The 14616-nt window shown below is 41.9% G+C and overlaps 2 gene segments (V, D, J or C) and 1 further gene, besides 3 other annotated features; 2 read left to right on the top strand and 1 right to left on the bottom strand.

Moving 5' to 3' along the window:
- Positions 1 to 14616, bottom strand: part of IGK (immunoglobulin kappa locus) — a 1378008-nt gene that overhangs the window by 904689 nt on the left and 458703 nt on the right.
- Positions 250 to 260: a sequence feature (IGKV2-40 leader sequence).
- On the top strand, positions 251 to 564 carry IGKV2-40 (immunoglobulin kappa variable 2-40). The segment is given in 1 exon segment: positions 251 to 564. A coding segment is annotated over 1 exon segment (314 nt), but the record flags the coding sequence as incomplete, so codon positions are not given.
- Positions 10581 to 10637: a sequence feature (IGKV1-39 leader sequence).
- On the top strand, positions 10581 to 11055 carry IGKV1-39 (immunoglobulin kappa variable 1-39). The segment is given in 2 exon segments: positions 10581 to 10635; positions 10760 to 11055. Coding segments are annotated over 2 exon segments (351 nt in total), but the record flags the coding sequence as incomplete, so codon positions are not given.
- Positions 10758 to 10768: a sequence feature (IGKV1-39 leader sequence).

Below are 14616 nucleotides of genomic sequence, written 5' to 3'. Positions count from 1 at the left end.
GAATTCAGGTTTGTCTTATGAATAATCAGGATTCACCTCCAGGGAACGATGACCAGTGCTCTGATTAAGAACTTGAAAAAAAAGAGTTCCCTTGTGGCTAATAAATAATGGGTCTATTTTAGAAAGTCTACTTTTCATGATATAAATCAAAACTTTAAAAATGTAACTGTAAATTTATATCACAAGAGAAATTATGAAAGTTGCTCATAATGTATCTATATAAACTTGCACTTCTCTGTTATTATTTCAGGATCCAGTGAGGATATTGTGATGACCCAGACTCCACTCTCCCTGCCCGTCACCCCTGGAGAGCCGGCCTCCATCTCCTGCAGGTCTAGTCAGAGCCTCTTGGATAGTGATGATGGAAACACCTATTTGGACTGGTACCTGCAGAAGCCAGGGCAGTCTCCACAGCTCCTGATCTATACGCTTTCCTATCGGGCCTCTGGAGTCCCAGACAGGTTCAGTGGCAGTGGGTCAGGCACTGATTTCACACTGAAAATCAGCAGGGTGGAGGCTGAGGATGTTGGAGTTTATTACTGCATGCAACGTATAGAGTTTCCTTCCACAGTGGTACAGCCCTGAACAGAAACCTCCCTGCTGTGGTGCCCCAGCTGCTCACATGCACTGCTTGTCTGGGGAGCAGGTCAGCAGCGTCTCTGAGTCTGCAAAAGAGGAGGCTGTTGGAGAATACAGGGCAGGGTTTGCTTCTGAGGACTCTGCCTGGGACTACAGGTGCATGCCACTAAACATGGCTAATTTTTCTATTTTTTTGTAGAGTCGGTGCTTCACCATGTTGCCCAGCCTGTTGTCAAAATCATGGGCTCAAGCCACCCACCTGACTTGGCCTCCCAACGTGCTGGCAGTACAGTGTGAGCCACTGTGGCAGGTCAGCACCCCTGTTTATGTTCCTGTCACCTGCCACAGCCTTGACTCTCATAACCAACAGGAAAATGAGGAGGTTCTAGGGCCCTGTGAGTAAAAAACTGGGATGATAGGGAAAGGAGAATGGAATCTCATCTGAATCCTCCTTCCTTGCCTACATTTGTTTAAATTTATTGAGCAAAAGGGCCAGACTACTGATTATTTCTGGCAAAACATGTTGAGTACATTTTAGGGTTTAACAGTTTTGGGTACCTTTCAAAGAAAATATTTGGTTATATGTAAAATTGGTATTTTCCCACTTTTTAAATTCCTACTTCTCCTGTTTGCCATTCTTCTCCACTCCATGAGACAGTAGAGACAGGATTATTCACTAATTCTCCTCTGGCGGAGCTGGCTGAGGACAATCAGTAAGATCTTGGTTGTGAGTGTCAAATAGATTTTGTAATTTCATAGCAGACGCAAGTTCCTAATACTAAAACTCTTTGATTACAATTACCTCTTGCTGATAGAAAAAGGGAGTTCTTGAAATTTTGAAAGTTGGTTTTAAAAATAAAATGCATACACTGGAAGATGCAGTATACTAAAGATGTAGTATTTTCCAGGGATCACTGAGAAAATACAGGATGAGGTAAACAGTTTTATTTTCCAAAGTTCAGAATTTGAGATTGGGCAGACTGCAGGAATGGGAGCATGAAGAGAACATAAGAGAGATCAGCTATTGTTCAATTACACTGCCCTTGATTATGGTGGGTGGGGATGTGGCTGGTGGTGGTGATGGCAGTTGATGATGTGGATCCAAAAAGGGGCCAAATGTGTTACTTGTGAAGAACCACAGAGTTGAAAGCACTGCTGCATGGCTTCCTGGGTGGAGCCAAGTCTTCGCACTTTCCAAACTTTCTCTCTCCTTTATTACTCACATGAAACTGCCCTCTCTAGTATTATGGTGGAAAAAGCATTCTGCACCAGCTATTTTCATGGGAGTATGGCCAAGGATAATTATTTTTACTACTTATGGATTTTTAAAATCCAGGACAGATATAAATCCTAATACCAAAATAGTTTGATTTGCCTCAGTTGCCTTTTGCTGACTGAAAATAGAGTTCTTCCAATTCCAAAAGTGGGCTTTGAAAATAGACAAAATAATTCAGATGGAGAACATAAAGTTTACATAATGTACCACAGGAACAATGCAGAATTATATGAGATTTTTATTTCCTTCTCAAATTCTTAGAATTTTAAAAATATTTTACTGACATAGCATTTTAAAGAGAAAATTTTTAGTGCTATGTTGTCATAAGAAAATGATTCAAAGAATGAATAAATGCATTATTTTTATATGATACTATTCCTGAAAATAAATCTGAATCCTCTATTTTAGTTGTTAATGCATAGAAAAATTATGCTCTTAATATATTCCATTGACAATAGTGCTCTAAATTTATATGCTTCCTTAATTTGAGGGCTACAGTCTGATAAATATCTATCTACATTTTGTCATGCAACTTTTAAACCTAACAGAAATGCTTTCGTTAAAAAAGCAACAGTGCTTTCTCTACCATAATGCTAGAGAGGGCAGTTTCGTGTGAGTGGTAAAGGAGAAAGTTTGGAAAGTGGGAAGACAGCAATTTTGCAATATGACCAAGTGTTATCATGCAAAAAACTATCTCCAAACCAGTCATTTCTAACATGTATTTCACTTGTGTTACCACTAATCTGCATCCATGATCTGATCATTCTGCCAAATAAATTTACACGAACCCGAGTAATGAGTGATGTCTGTCACATGTGATAACACGGTGTAGAGACACAAAAGACTGAATCAACAGAACAAGATCCTGATACAGGCTAAGGGTTTAAATAATACTTGAGATGATTTATTTCAAGATAACAGATTCCATAGGAAGTGCAATTAAAATTCCAATGTGTCATTTCTGTTAGGTTTAAAAGTTGCGTGGCAAAATGTACATAGATATTTATTAGACCGGAGCTCTCAAACTAAGAAATATGAGACACTCAATATGTTATTGAAAAATACTAATTAATGCATCATTGACCCTATATTTTATTACATAATGCAGTAAAAGAAAATAAAATGTAAGTAGCAAGAGCACGAGGTAAGCAATGCCATCGTCACCTTTAGCCCTCCTGGGATTGACAGCACCTAGTCACCTTGAGTTTCTGCTTTTCTGCGAGACAGGAGATAAAATGAAAACCCATTCAAGGTAGTTAGTTATATTTTGGAGAAAGCAAACAAAGATACCACCTACATGATGCTGATATCCCAAAGGCATATATTCTCAAGTCAAAATAGTGAAAAGTATATGATCCCCAAAACTGAAAGGGGAGAGATACAAGGAGAATCAGAGCATGATCAAATTTAATTACAAAGAAGCCTCATAATATGGTGAACTAAATGTAACAAGGTTTCTTTGTCTGTTGCCATGGCAGTGCAGAGGCAGGCAGGTGGCCTTGGTGGTGTAGGTGGCTCTGCTCCGTGAGGTCACTCCGGTGGGCAGGAGGCACGAACACCCTGAGAACACAGCCTTCCTCCTTCCTCACAGTCATTGCCTGCCCAGCCATCCTCAGCAGCATGAGGTGGGACAGAGTGGAGAGAAAGCTGTTTTCTTCTAAAGACTAAAAACAAAAACAGAAAAAAAAAAAACAAACCTGGAGCTTTCCATCAGTGACAAATGTACTTTTGACTCAATCACACATTTGAGAAGTTTTCCAGTGAGTGGATCTGCAGATAAACCCACATTCGTTGTTTGTTTGTTTTAATCTGAAAATGTGTTTACATGATTCTTGAAAATATTTTTTGACTGTAAACTTATATTTGTAGTAGCCTATTTGAAGTTATCATTTACTATTTCATAATTGCTACTAAAAAGTTATTGTTAAAAAAATCTGTGACTCTAACTGTTCTTGTTTGAAAGGAATACGTCTTTTTAAGACACTCAGACTCCTTTTAAGCTCCTCATTTGGCCCTCCTTTGTTTCTGATTCAATGTATTGTTTAATTTGTTATTTATGACTAATTAATCTATTAATTAATTTTCACAATCACAGAATCAAATGTCCTATAAGTTGCTATGTCAAAGACCTGCCTGAAGATGGCACACATGCTCCACAATGAACAAAGGACAGCACCATGGTCTCAGGAACACTGGGGAAGTAGGAGTGCTGGTGTCCCATTATCAACAGGGAGCCCTAGAGTTAGAGTCAAATCTTCCCTGTGACCTGGGCACCTGGGAGGAGCCACCCGTGTGCTGAGCTGTGGGAACCTGCCCCATGCCCTGAGACTGGAAGCACGGCCTTGGCTGTGTCCCACCTGCTATGGACTGAATTGTGCCCTCAGATTCATGTTGAAACCCTAATTTTCAATGTGACTGTAGAAATCAGAACCTCTAAAGATGTAATTGAGGTCATGGCAGGGGGTGTCCCTGATCCAGTAGGATTCATGATTTTGTAGGATCCAGAGACCTCTCCTTTTTCTTCTCTCTCTCTAACCGCCTTCCCCTCCATGGAAAGGCTGTGTGAAGACATGGTGAGAAGGTGGCACCTACAAACCAGGAATAAGGTCTTTAGCAGAAAACAAACTCTGCTGAACGTCGATCTGGGATATTCCAGGCACCAGAAATGTGAAAATTAAATTCTGTGGTTTAGCCATCCAGCCCCGTGTTACGGTGTGGCAGCGGAAGCTGACTCATCCATCTTCCCCACCCTCTGTGAGCAGATCAGCTTCAGGAGGCCCTCGTGGACATGGGGTCCCAGCTTTGCTCCTCTTCCTCCTGTTTTTCCAACTCTCTGGTGAAGAGGGAGGACTCAAGCTTCATCATCAGTTTCTGTGCATTAAACATGAATGTTTCCTTCAAGATGAAGTTTTTAGCCCATTTTGCTTTCTCAGAATTTAATCAAACTGAATGAAGTATGTACTTACAATTAATATTTGGGGATGTTCATATTTGTTCCCCCCTTATATGACAGTTGGGATATTGTGTGGTGCTCATCTCCAGGCCCCTCCCTGTGTTCCAGGAGACAGGGTCACTGTCACCAGCAGAGCCAGTCAGGGAAATAACAGTGTCTAGCCTAGCTCCTTGTGAAATAAGGGCTGACACTGAGCTCCTGCTGGCTCCCACTGCTCCCTGGACACGATGCCTGCCTGGGTCAAGGGGGTGAGTCTGGACAGACGTCACTCTGGCCATCAGTAGCCTAACTACCTTCATGACCTCCCACTGTGAACAGAGTCCCGGAAGCTGCTGGAGCCATGAAAGTTGGACAGAGAAATCCCACATCACTGCAGTCAGAGGGGGGCTATGAAAAGACCGTGGGGGGGTTTCATACTATGACCACCCAGCACTGAGCCATGGCTGCCACTCTGTCTGATGGGAGCCCCCAGGGGAAGATCCACTCACACTGTGCTCTAGAGGTCGTTTTTGTCACCATCTTTGTTCTAGCTGGTTTGGGCCAGTTTCTGTAGTGCATCCTGTTTTGTCCAGATCCTGTTCTGGTCAGCGTTGTCATGACCAGTGTTGTGATCAGTGCTCAGAATACAAGCCCTGATGATCTCCTACCTTATACTCACTGCCTTCTGTGAACCAGATGTTCTGATAAGGGTCCTGTTGGATCCTACTCGAATCAGTTGCCACACAGACCCTCACTGAGGGCTGAGGGCCACAGACATCTGAAGATAAACAGAGGTCCAGAGAATGATAGCCTGTGACTGTCCTCTGTAAAGACAGCTGCTCCCCAGATGGCTGAGGGCTGTCTTTGGCTGTGTCCTTCTTTCTGAATGATAATGAGGGATAGAGCAGGTCTCTAAGCAAAACCTCAGCAAGGCCTTCCTATGTGTGCTGCTCTAACCTGGACATAGGTGGCACTGGATACACTTAGGGAAGTGAGGAAATTTATAGTCACAAGGAAGAGAGAGAAAGGAGGAGAGAGAGAGAAGAGCCTGTGATGTGTGTATAGTACCAACACTGATAGTATGTTCTTTAATGGTTTATTGTTGAGTATGATGCTCAAATGCTCAGGTTCTATTCCATGCAGCCGATACATATACCTTATATAGGAAAAGGGCCTTTGCATATATAAATTAAGGATTATGAATTGGGCAGATTATCCTGTATTGACCAGGTGGGCCCTAAATGGGCCTGTCTTTATTAAATGTCTGTCTATCTCTCTTATAAGGACATCACGATTGTCCTTATAAGATAGACATAGACAGACATTTTAACAAAGTCTGCAGAAGAGAAGGCAATTTGAAGACAGTGGCAGAGATTGAAGTGATGTGGACTCAAGCCAAAGAAAGTTGAAGCCACCAAAAGCTGGAAGAAGCCAAAAAGTAGACTCCCCGCTGGAGTCCCTGCAGAAGCTTTGATGACAGCCTGCTCTTGACCCCTGAAACTAGTGCTGGACTTATGGCCTCCAGAACTATAGGAGGAGAATATATTTCTGTTGCTTTAAGCCACCAAAGTTTTAGTAATTTGTTATAGCAGCCCAAGAATTCTAATAAAAATGGGGCTTAGGATAAGTCCAGCCTAAAGGTAGTATGATGATTTGCACTCTCCACCTTCATTTCTCTAATGTTACACATAATTGGTTAGAAGAAGATTTTTATGATGGAAACATTGTACAGGAAGCCACCCAGTATATACAGGGGCATCTGTTAGTTACAGAATAAATATTGACAGTTCTTAGTTGAAAATGACATCTGAGGCTGGGCTTGGTGGCTCACGCCTATAATCCCAGCACTTTGGGAGGCCAAGGCGGGTGGATCACAAGGTCAGGAGATGGAGATCATCCTGGCTAACACAATGAAAAATCTGAAAAATACAAAATTTTTCAGAAATTCTGAAAAATACAAAAAATTAGCCAGACATGGTGGCACGTGCCTGTAGTCCAAGCTACTCGGGAGGCTGAGACAGGAGAATCCCTTAAACTCGGGAGGTGGAGGTTGCAGTGAGCCGAGACCACACCACTGCACTCAGGCCTGGGCAAGAGAGCAAGACTCTGCCTCCAAAACAAACAAACAAACAAACAAACAAAAAACCCACCAAACCAGGACTTTTTGAACTCAGCTCTGAACCAAGTGGACCTAATAGACATCTACAGAACTCTCCATCCCAAATCAACAAAATATACATTCTTCTCAGCAGCACATCGCACTTATTCTAAAATTGACCACAAATGCCTTATGTAAATGACGAGTTGATGGGTACAGCAAACCCATATGGCACATGTACACCTATGTAACCTGCAAGTTGTGCACATGTACCCCAGAACTTAAAGTGTAATAATACAAAAAAATGACATGTGACTAGTAGTATCTTATCTAGAATCTTCATTCTAAGATACTCAAGGACGCATAAAAGGGACCCTAAGTAGTCTTTTCATACATATATATGCACATATATATGTATGAAAAGCAGTCTTTTCATCAACTAGAGAAACCCTCAGGACAGCCCTTAATACCCTTGGTGATACATTTCAGATGAGTAAACTGTTATCAGAGCCCGTAGTTGAAACTATTCAACAGAGATGGTTTGCCCAAAGATATGTGGTCAGCAATTGTCAGGGCTGAGCTTGGAACCCAGGTCTGCATAACCTTAAATATGTTGCTTCCACATGGCCACGTTTGTTTCATATACGATTGAATGGCCTTTAAATTCAAAGAAGAGACAAAGCCAGAAGAGTGGTGTGAAATTCTCAACACAAGCTCCCTGCTACCTCTACACCTTACCGTGATTACTCCAATTATAAACTCAGGCCCTCATGCAGTTTTGTCTACAAAGCAAAACTTCCTCAAAGTCTTTACAAATACTAAATGTCTTTCTTTCAGATTCGAGGGCAAGAGCACATCTTGCATTGCCCTGAACACTTTGCATCTTTTCTACCATTCTCATCTTTCTGTCCCAGTCCTTCCTTCTCAAATGATGTCCTGTAAATCTGATTTCTCCCCCAATATGAAAACAAATGAACAAATATTCCCCTACTTTTCTCATATCCAGAGGATACAAGAGTTAATCACATATCCAGAGAGTACGAGAGTTAATCAAGGGATTTATGCAAGAGTGTTTACACATAACAAGGATTCTGGTGCTAGCCATCTTCACAGTGAAATTTTCTGTGTGTCTTGCTAAAATTGACACTAAAAAATGACAAGATAAAAATATTTGGAAGAACAGAGGGCAACCATGCCCTTAAGGAGGTAAAAGACACCCCTGCCCCTTGTGTTAGTTTCCTACTCCTGCTGTAACAAGTTATCAGAATCTTACTAGTTTCATACAACACAAATTTATTATCATACAGTTCTGGCAGTGAGAAGTCTCACTGATTTATAATCAAGGTATCCGTAGTTCTATATTCCTTCTGGAAGTTCCAGGGGAGAGAATCTGATTCTCAGCTTTTCATCTTCAAAGATAGCCCCATGTTCCGGGCTGCCTGGCCCCTTTCTCCATCACTGAAGCATCCCTGTCCATTGTCCCTATTCCTCTCTGACTGTTACCCCCACTCCTCCCTATTATAAAGACCCTTCTGATGACGCTGTCTTTCCTAGATAATTCAGCTGTTTCCTAAATTTTCTGAATATCCCTATGCATGAAAAAAAAAGAATTGGCAAGTATTCAGACTATACTTTCCAAGAATGAGGGTTTGTCCACTGTTTTAGGTTGGATCTTTCAGGGACAATGATGCCCATGCAGGCAGCATATTTATAATGCACAGTAAACACTAGGAGGAAACAAGGCAGTGAGAGAGGAAAGAGAGCAGCGATACCGAAAATGTCCTCAGCGAGAAGCTACCACAGAGGATGAATGGAGATCAAGCCCACGTGGAAACATGGGAAAATGTCTCAGTATTTTTCCACCTAAGAAGGGAGGGAGATGGGGTATGTATACACCTCCCTGTCCTCACTGATTGAGGGCTTTCCGAGAGGATGCTCATTCCAGGTGCTGTGATAGGCCATGTGTACAGGCAGGGCTGCCTTCTCCAGCTTCAGATAGAGCAGTGAGGAAAAGATATGGCCATGGGGGGTCAGCAGAAGTACAGCAAAGGGAAAAGGGAAAGGGTAGCAAGAGTGACAACTATATTCACCCCCCCCACACACACACACACACACACGAAATTGTGTATTGCAATCCAGAACTGCTTCTCTCTGAACCTAAATCTTAGCAAGCAGTTTACCAGTAACTGCCCTTGAAATTCAGGCCCCTGGAAAGGAGCAGGGGGTTGTGTACAGGCTATACCACAGCAGTCTGCCCACCCTTAGTGATGCATGAGTAATGCTCCCTGGACTCCCCAGGTTCTAGTCTTCTCATGTCGATGTAGTTGATTCCACTTCCCTTGCTGCACAACCAGGCTGGGATGCCTGGGCAGAGGCAGACATGTGAGGTATAGGGGTTCAAATCTGTTTCCAAGTTTTATCCAGCTTCAAAGCATTTCTCCGTGTACATGAGCGGTGGCTTGACAGGAGATGGAGACTCTCTTTCCTGGATGTGAGGCAAGGAGGCAGGCGTCTGAGTCAGGATGATGTCCCTACTCACTGCTAAAGAGAAAAGTGGCTTTGATGGTGCAGGGCAGGGAAATGCACTGAGTGGTCGCCACCCTCACAGAAGAGAAAGTGTTCACTGACCTGGCCTTTCCCCAGGGCCTCTCCCTCCCATTGCTTTCCAGAAAGCCATGATTTTTGAGAGCCACACCTGAACACTCACAAACATTATGGTGGGAAAAGCAGATCAGAGCATTAGGCAAGTTGCATTACCTTGGCCTTCTTCCTTTGGAGACAATTGATGTGGGGTTCTAGATTGACCCAGAGTTTCAAGTTTATCCTGATTCAGGCTTCAACAGCTGGAGGAAGAAACAGAGATGTTTTTTGAAGTAAACAGATCTAGCATTACTAATCAACCCTTCATACTGATGACCTATGGGAAATAATACCCAAGGGCAGAAAAATGGGCAGAATAAGGGGAGCCCCAAACCAAGACGAAGCTGCTGCCCATTGAGACCCTGGGTATTACAGAGACCTATAGCTCTGGATAATGGAAGATCTATGAGTGGCACAGGCGCTGAGGAATCACAGCATCATTATCGTGCATCTGCAGGGAATTGCTTGTAAATATACTGGTAATTACAAATGTTTAAGGTCACTACAAATACTTTGGAGTGTATTAAATATGCTTCTGATAAAGACTGTTTTTCTCACATGAAACAATGGGAACCATGTGACAATCACAGAGGTGTTGTTACTATAGCAAAAGGGATTGTTACTCTCCACATCCCTTTAAGTAACTTGAAGGCCTGATAGACCCACCCTCTAAGACTTCATTAGACATTCCCTACGAATGGTTATACTCTCCTGTATACTCCCAATACAACTCTAAAATATATTATTCCATATAGTCCTTAGGTTTGTATTAAAGTTTGACTTTTTTCCTTCAAAATATCTCTTGTCACAACAGCGGCTCTAGAGAGAAATACATTCCCTCCAGGCAAATCTATGCTGCGCTGGTCTGACCTGGGACCCTGGGGACATTGCCCCTGTGCTGAGTTACTAAGATGAGCCAGCCCTGCAGCTGTGCTCAGCCTGCCCCATGCCCTGCTGATTGATTTGCATGTTCCAGAGCACAGCCCCCTGCCCTGAAGACTTTTTTATGGGCTGGTCGCACCCTGTGCAGGAGTCAGTCTCAGTCAGGACACAGCATGGACATGAGGGTCCCCGCTCAGCTCCTGGGGCTCCTGCTACTCTGGCTCCGAGGTAAGGATGGAGAACACTAGGAATTTACTCAGCCAGTGTGCTCAGTACTGACTGGAACTTCAGGGAAGTTCTCTGATAACATGATTAATAGTAAGAATATTTGTTTTTATGTTTCCAATCTCAGGTGCCAGATGTGACATCCAGATGACCCAGTCTCCATCCTCCCTGTCTGCATCTGTAGGAGACAGAGTCACCATCACTTGCCGGGCAAGTCAGAGCATTAGCAGCTATTTAAATTGGTATCAGCAGAAACCAGGGAAAGCCCCTAAGCTCCTGATCTATGCTGCATCCAGTTTGCAAAGTGGGGTCCCATCAAGGTTCAGTGGCAGTGGATCTGGGACAGATTTCACTCTCACCATCAGCAGTCTGCAACCTGAAGATTTTGCAACTTACTACTGTCAACAGAGTTACAGTACCCCTCCCACAGTGTTACAAGTCATAACATAAACCTCCAAGGAAGCAGATGTGTGAGGACGAGCCACCCCAGATGCTCCTCCTGGTGCCTCCATCTGCTGAGAGCATTTCTCAAACTCAGTCAGGTTTTGAAAGTCATTGGGAGACTTTTGTAGAGGGGACCAGGGAGGCTCCTCTGAACTCTAAGCCTCTTTTGCCCCTATCCCCAGGAGAAAAGATGTGACAATGCCTGTCCTGATTGAATAAGGAAGAGATACAAGTCCACCTGAGGAGTCTGTGTTATGGGATAATTGGAATTTACACAGCAAAAGAGAAGCTATTCTCGGTATTTCAAGGAGAAATTGTTCAAGTTGAATAAATTAGAGTCTAAACTAGTCTTTTTGAAGCCTACGGTATGTTATTCGTGAAGCAGCCACTAGAGACAGGGGATTCTCAGGTGCTCCTGCAGAAGTCAGAGTGCACCTGCCCCTGGTGGTATGTGCTGAGTACCGTGTGATGATCCTCAGACCTGTCTGGGAAGCCGAGGGCTGGGGTGCTGATGCTCTCAGCTGCCTGCAGCACGTCTCCAGGTGATTCTCCAGTCCACAAACAATTCCACATGTTTTACTTCAGATGTCAGAGTACATGAATCCACCACTCTGACTTCCCAATCTCATGGGAGTGCCTCTCATTAAGCAACTCTAAAGAAACCATAGAGAGAAAAGGAGTTTTGGAAAATGTGCGTCCAGAAGTGATAGTAGCGATGGGGAATTGACAGCTGACAGGTCAGTAAGGTTGCTCTTTCCACAAGGCTCAAAACTTTGCCAGTTACAGATTGTCCCAGAATATACTCGAATGTGCTATCACGTCTTACGAGCAACTCTGGGTTCATAGCAAGAAAACTTCATTAAGTCATAGATGAAACAGAAAAATCAGGAAACTGTATGAAATACATTATAAGGCTGTGTGTGGTAGCTCATGCCTGTAATTCCCAGCACTTTGAGAGGCTAAGGCAGGAGAATTGCTTCATCCTAGGAGTTTGAGATTGGACTGGGCAACATAGGAAGACTCTGTCTCTACAAAAAACAAAACAAAACAAAAAGATAAATAGATAGTTATAACAATCGTTTGACAACCTTTTTCCTTGACAAAAAGGAAAACAAGAGAAAATCCTAAACATGGATGTAGCATTTTTCCTCTTAATATGAAAGTCCTCTGCTACTCAAAACTATCCAGAATCCAGTAGCACCTTAGCAATACTGAGAGGGTGCCTTGCAAGATACATAGCAGGCCCACCTCAAATTACCTGAAAGAGAATCTTCATTTTAACACGGTAACAAGTGATCTACATAAAGCTTAACAAGGTATGTTTTAGGTGATATTTTAGCTAAAGAGATTTATTTTTTTCTCAATGAGGATATTTAAGAAAATTTCAATGGAGAGTCACATGTTGAAAGCACACCCAGCTTTACTTTCAAATTGATGCAACATTGCATTTGAAAACATTTTGAAGATTACAAAGGTTGAAAATCATAATTATATATGTCCATAGAATTATCAAATAACTTCATGTTTAAATGGAGTAAACATTTTTAGAAACTTTAATAATTACCAAGTGAAAGAATCAATTAAAGTTGTGTGTACCTATGTTAGAGATTCTCGGGCTTAATTGTATCAGGTCAGCTTGGTTTGGGATTTGTCTACTCCTGCGACCTGCCATGAGAATCTTCTGCCCTGAGTAGTCAGTGTCCTTCAGGCTTGGCCTCAGATAAATGCAATCCATAGGCTGGAGACAAGCTCGATTCCCTGCAGCCGAACCAACCAGCTGAGCCCTGCCTTGGGATCAGCCAACTGATTATTAAAATGAACATTCAGGAATATGAAAATAAATACTTAGTGTTAATAAGACACTAAGAGTTTAAGTGGTTGATTGTCAATAATTATTGTGCAAAAACTGACCAATACAGTATTTATACATCTACCTATTTAGATAGATGCATTTTATTAAAATTGATGGCATAAATATGAATATTTATTAATCCATATATAGAGATACTAAGACAACATTTAAAACATTAAAACTTAATACCAATAAAAACCATGAAATTGATGTCATTTGGGGAAAATACATATTTGAGTGTATATAACATACATATTGGTGCATTTATATTTTTGAAAAATTATTGGCTGCATATACGTATATGTACACATATTTATCTTTAAATAAGTCTATTTAAGTATATTTATATATCCATATAGAAGTAACACATGCATATTTACAAAACAATTATATAAAAATGAAATCTGTGAAGGTGATTTCAGTTTCCCCCCATAAGAACACTGGTGCCCGAGACCTGGTGTAGTATCTGCTGTGGCTACAGAAAGTTCCTTTATAACCTTTAGTTATAAAATACTCACCTAATGGGTATTTACACCTTAAAATATTTTTCTAACTCAAGTGGAGGGGTAAAGGGTATGAATGGGGATAACTGCCTACTGTTAAAAATTAATCATTTCATCCTATGGAAGTCCAATCATGCATATGCTGCCAATGATGCCATGCTGGATGGAGTTCTCATAACTGGGTGCTGTATTGATGTCATACCACTGCCATGGTAAAGGATACCCTGGGAGACTAGCAGTCACAAGAGTGGGCAAACCCGAAGGGTGAAGTCACCGTACACTTTGCAAAGAGGGATTAGCAATTCCATAACATTGGCTATTGGTTTGGAGAGATCACCAGGCCTCAGAAGAAACAAAACTGAAGGACTCGAGACAAAGTTGGTTTGGAAGAGCTATGACTGGATCTTTGAAAATACGTCAAGATCAAAAATAAATGCTTCCTAAGTGAATATTCATATCTATTCCATTACTGAGGACCAGCTCTTAGTAATTAAGAGGATCGAATGCTTGGCCTTCAGTCAGTCAACTTTCCCAGATTTTTTAGGAAGTGACATGAACCATAGAAATCCATGCAGGAGCTCAACAATATGAATTTCAGTTAATGAGGCTTGCATACCTATGGCTCTTCTGAGCATTCAACTTGCCAAGTAGCATTACCCCTCCCAAACCACTAACATCTAACCACACATCAGTGATCAGACTAACAACGCGTGTCAAATGAGTACAGTGCACCTAACCCAGCATCCAGAGGACAGTGGTAGTTTTCCTGTATACGGATTTGCCTTTCTTGTCAGTCATGTTTCTGCCAGAATCATCACTTGGAAGTATCTATAGCAAAAAAAAAAAAAAAAAAAGTGAAGCAACGTATATTCACGATGTTGTCATGTGTCCAGGGGCAGCTGTCCTTATAGAAAAGAGAAAATCCATTAGTAGTCAGGAAAAGCCAAAACACTAACCCTTGTAATGTCAAATCACTGTCTTACCAGATGTGCTGGAGGCCCTGAAACACTGATGTGTATGACGTTGTTACCCCCATTAACAGAATAGGAGAATCTGAGAGATGACTATTTATTATGGGTACAGAGAAGATTGAAATGTTGTTTCTATTCACTCTTGTCTGGTTTTCCAGTTGATAGTTCTTAATTCAAAGAATTAGCATGATAATTGTTGCATTAAATTGAAAAA

Source organism: Homo sapiens, chromosome 2 (assembly GCF_000001405.40).
Source record: "Homo sapiens chromosome 2, GRCh38.p14 Primary Assembly".
NCBI classification, from domain to species: domain Eukaryota; kingdom Metazoa; phylum Chordata; class Mammalia; order Primates; family Hominidae; genus Homo; species Homo sapiens.
The sequence above is the reverse complement of the archived record's forward strand: the minus strand, read 5'-3'. Positions and strand labels throughout refer to the sequence as shown.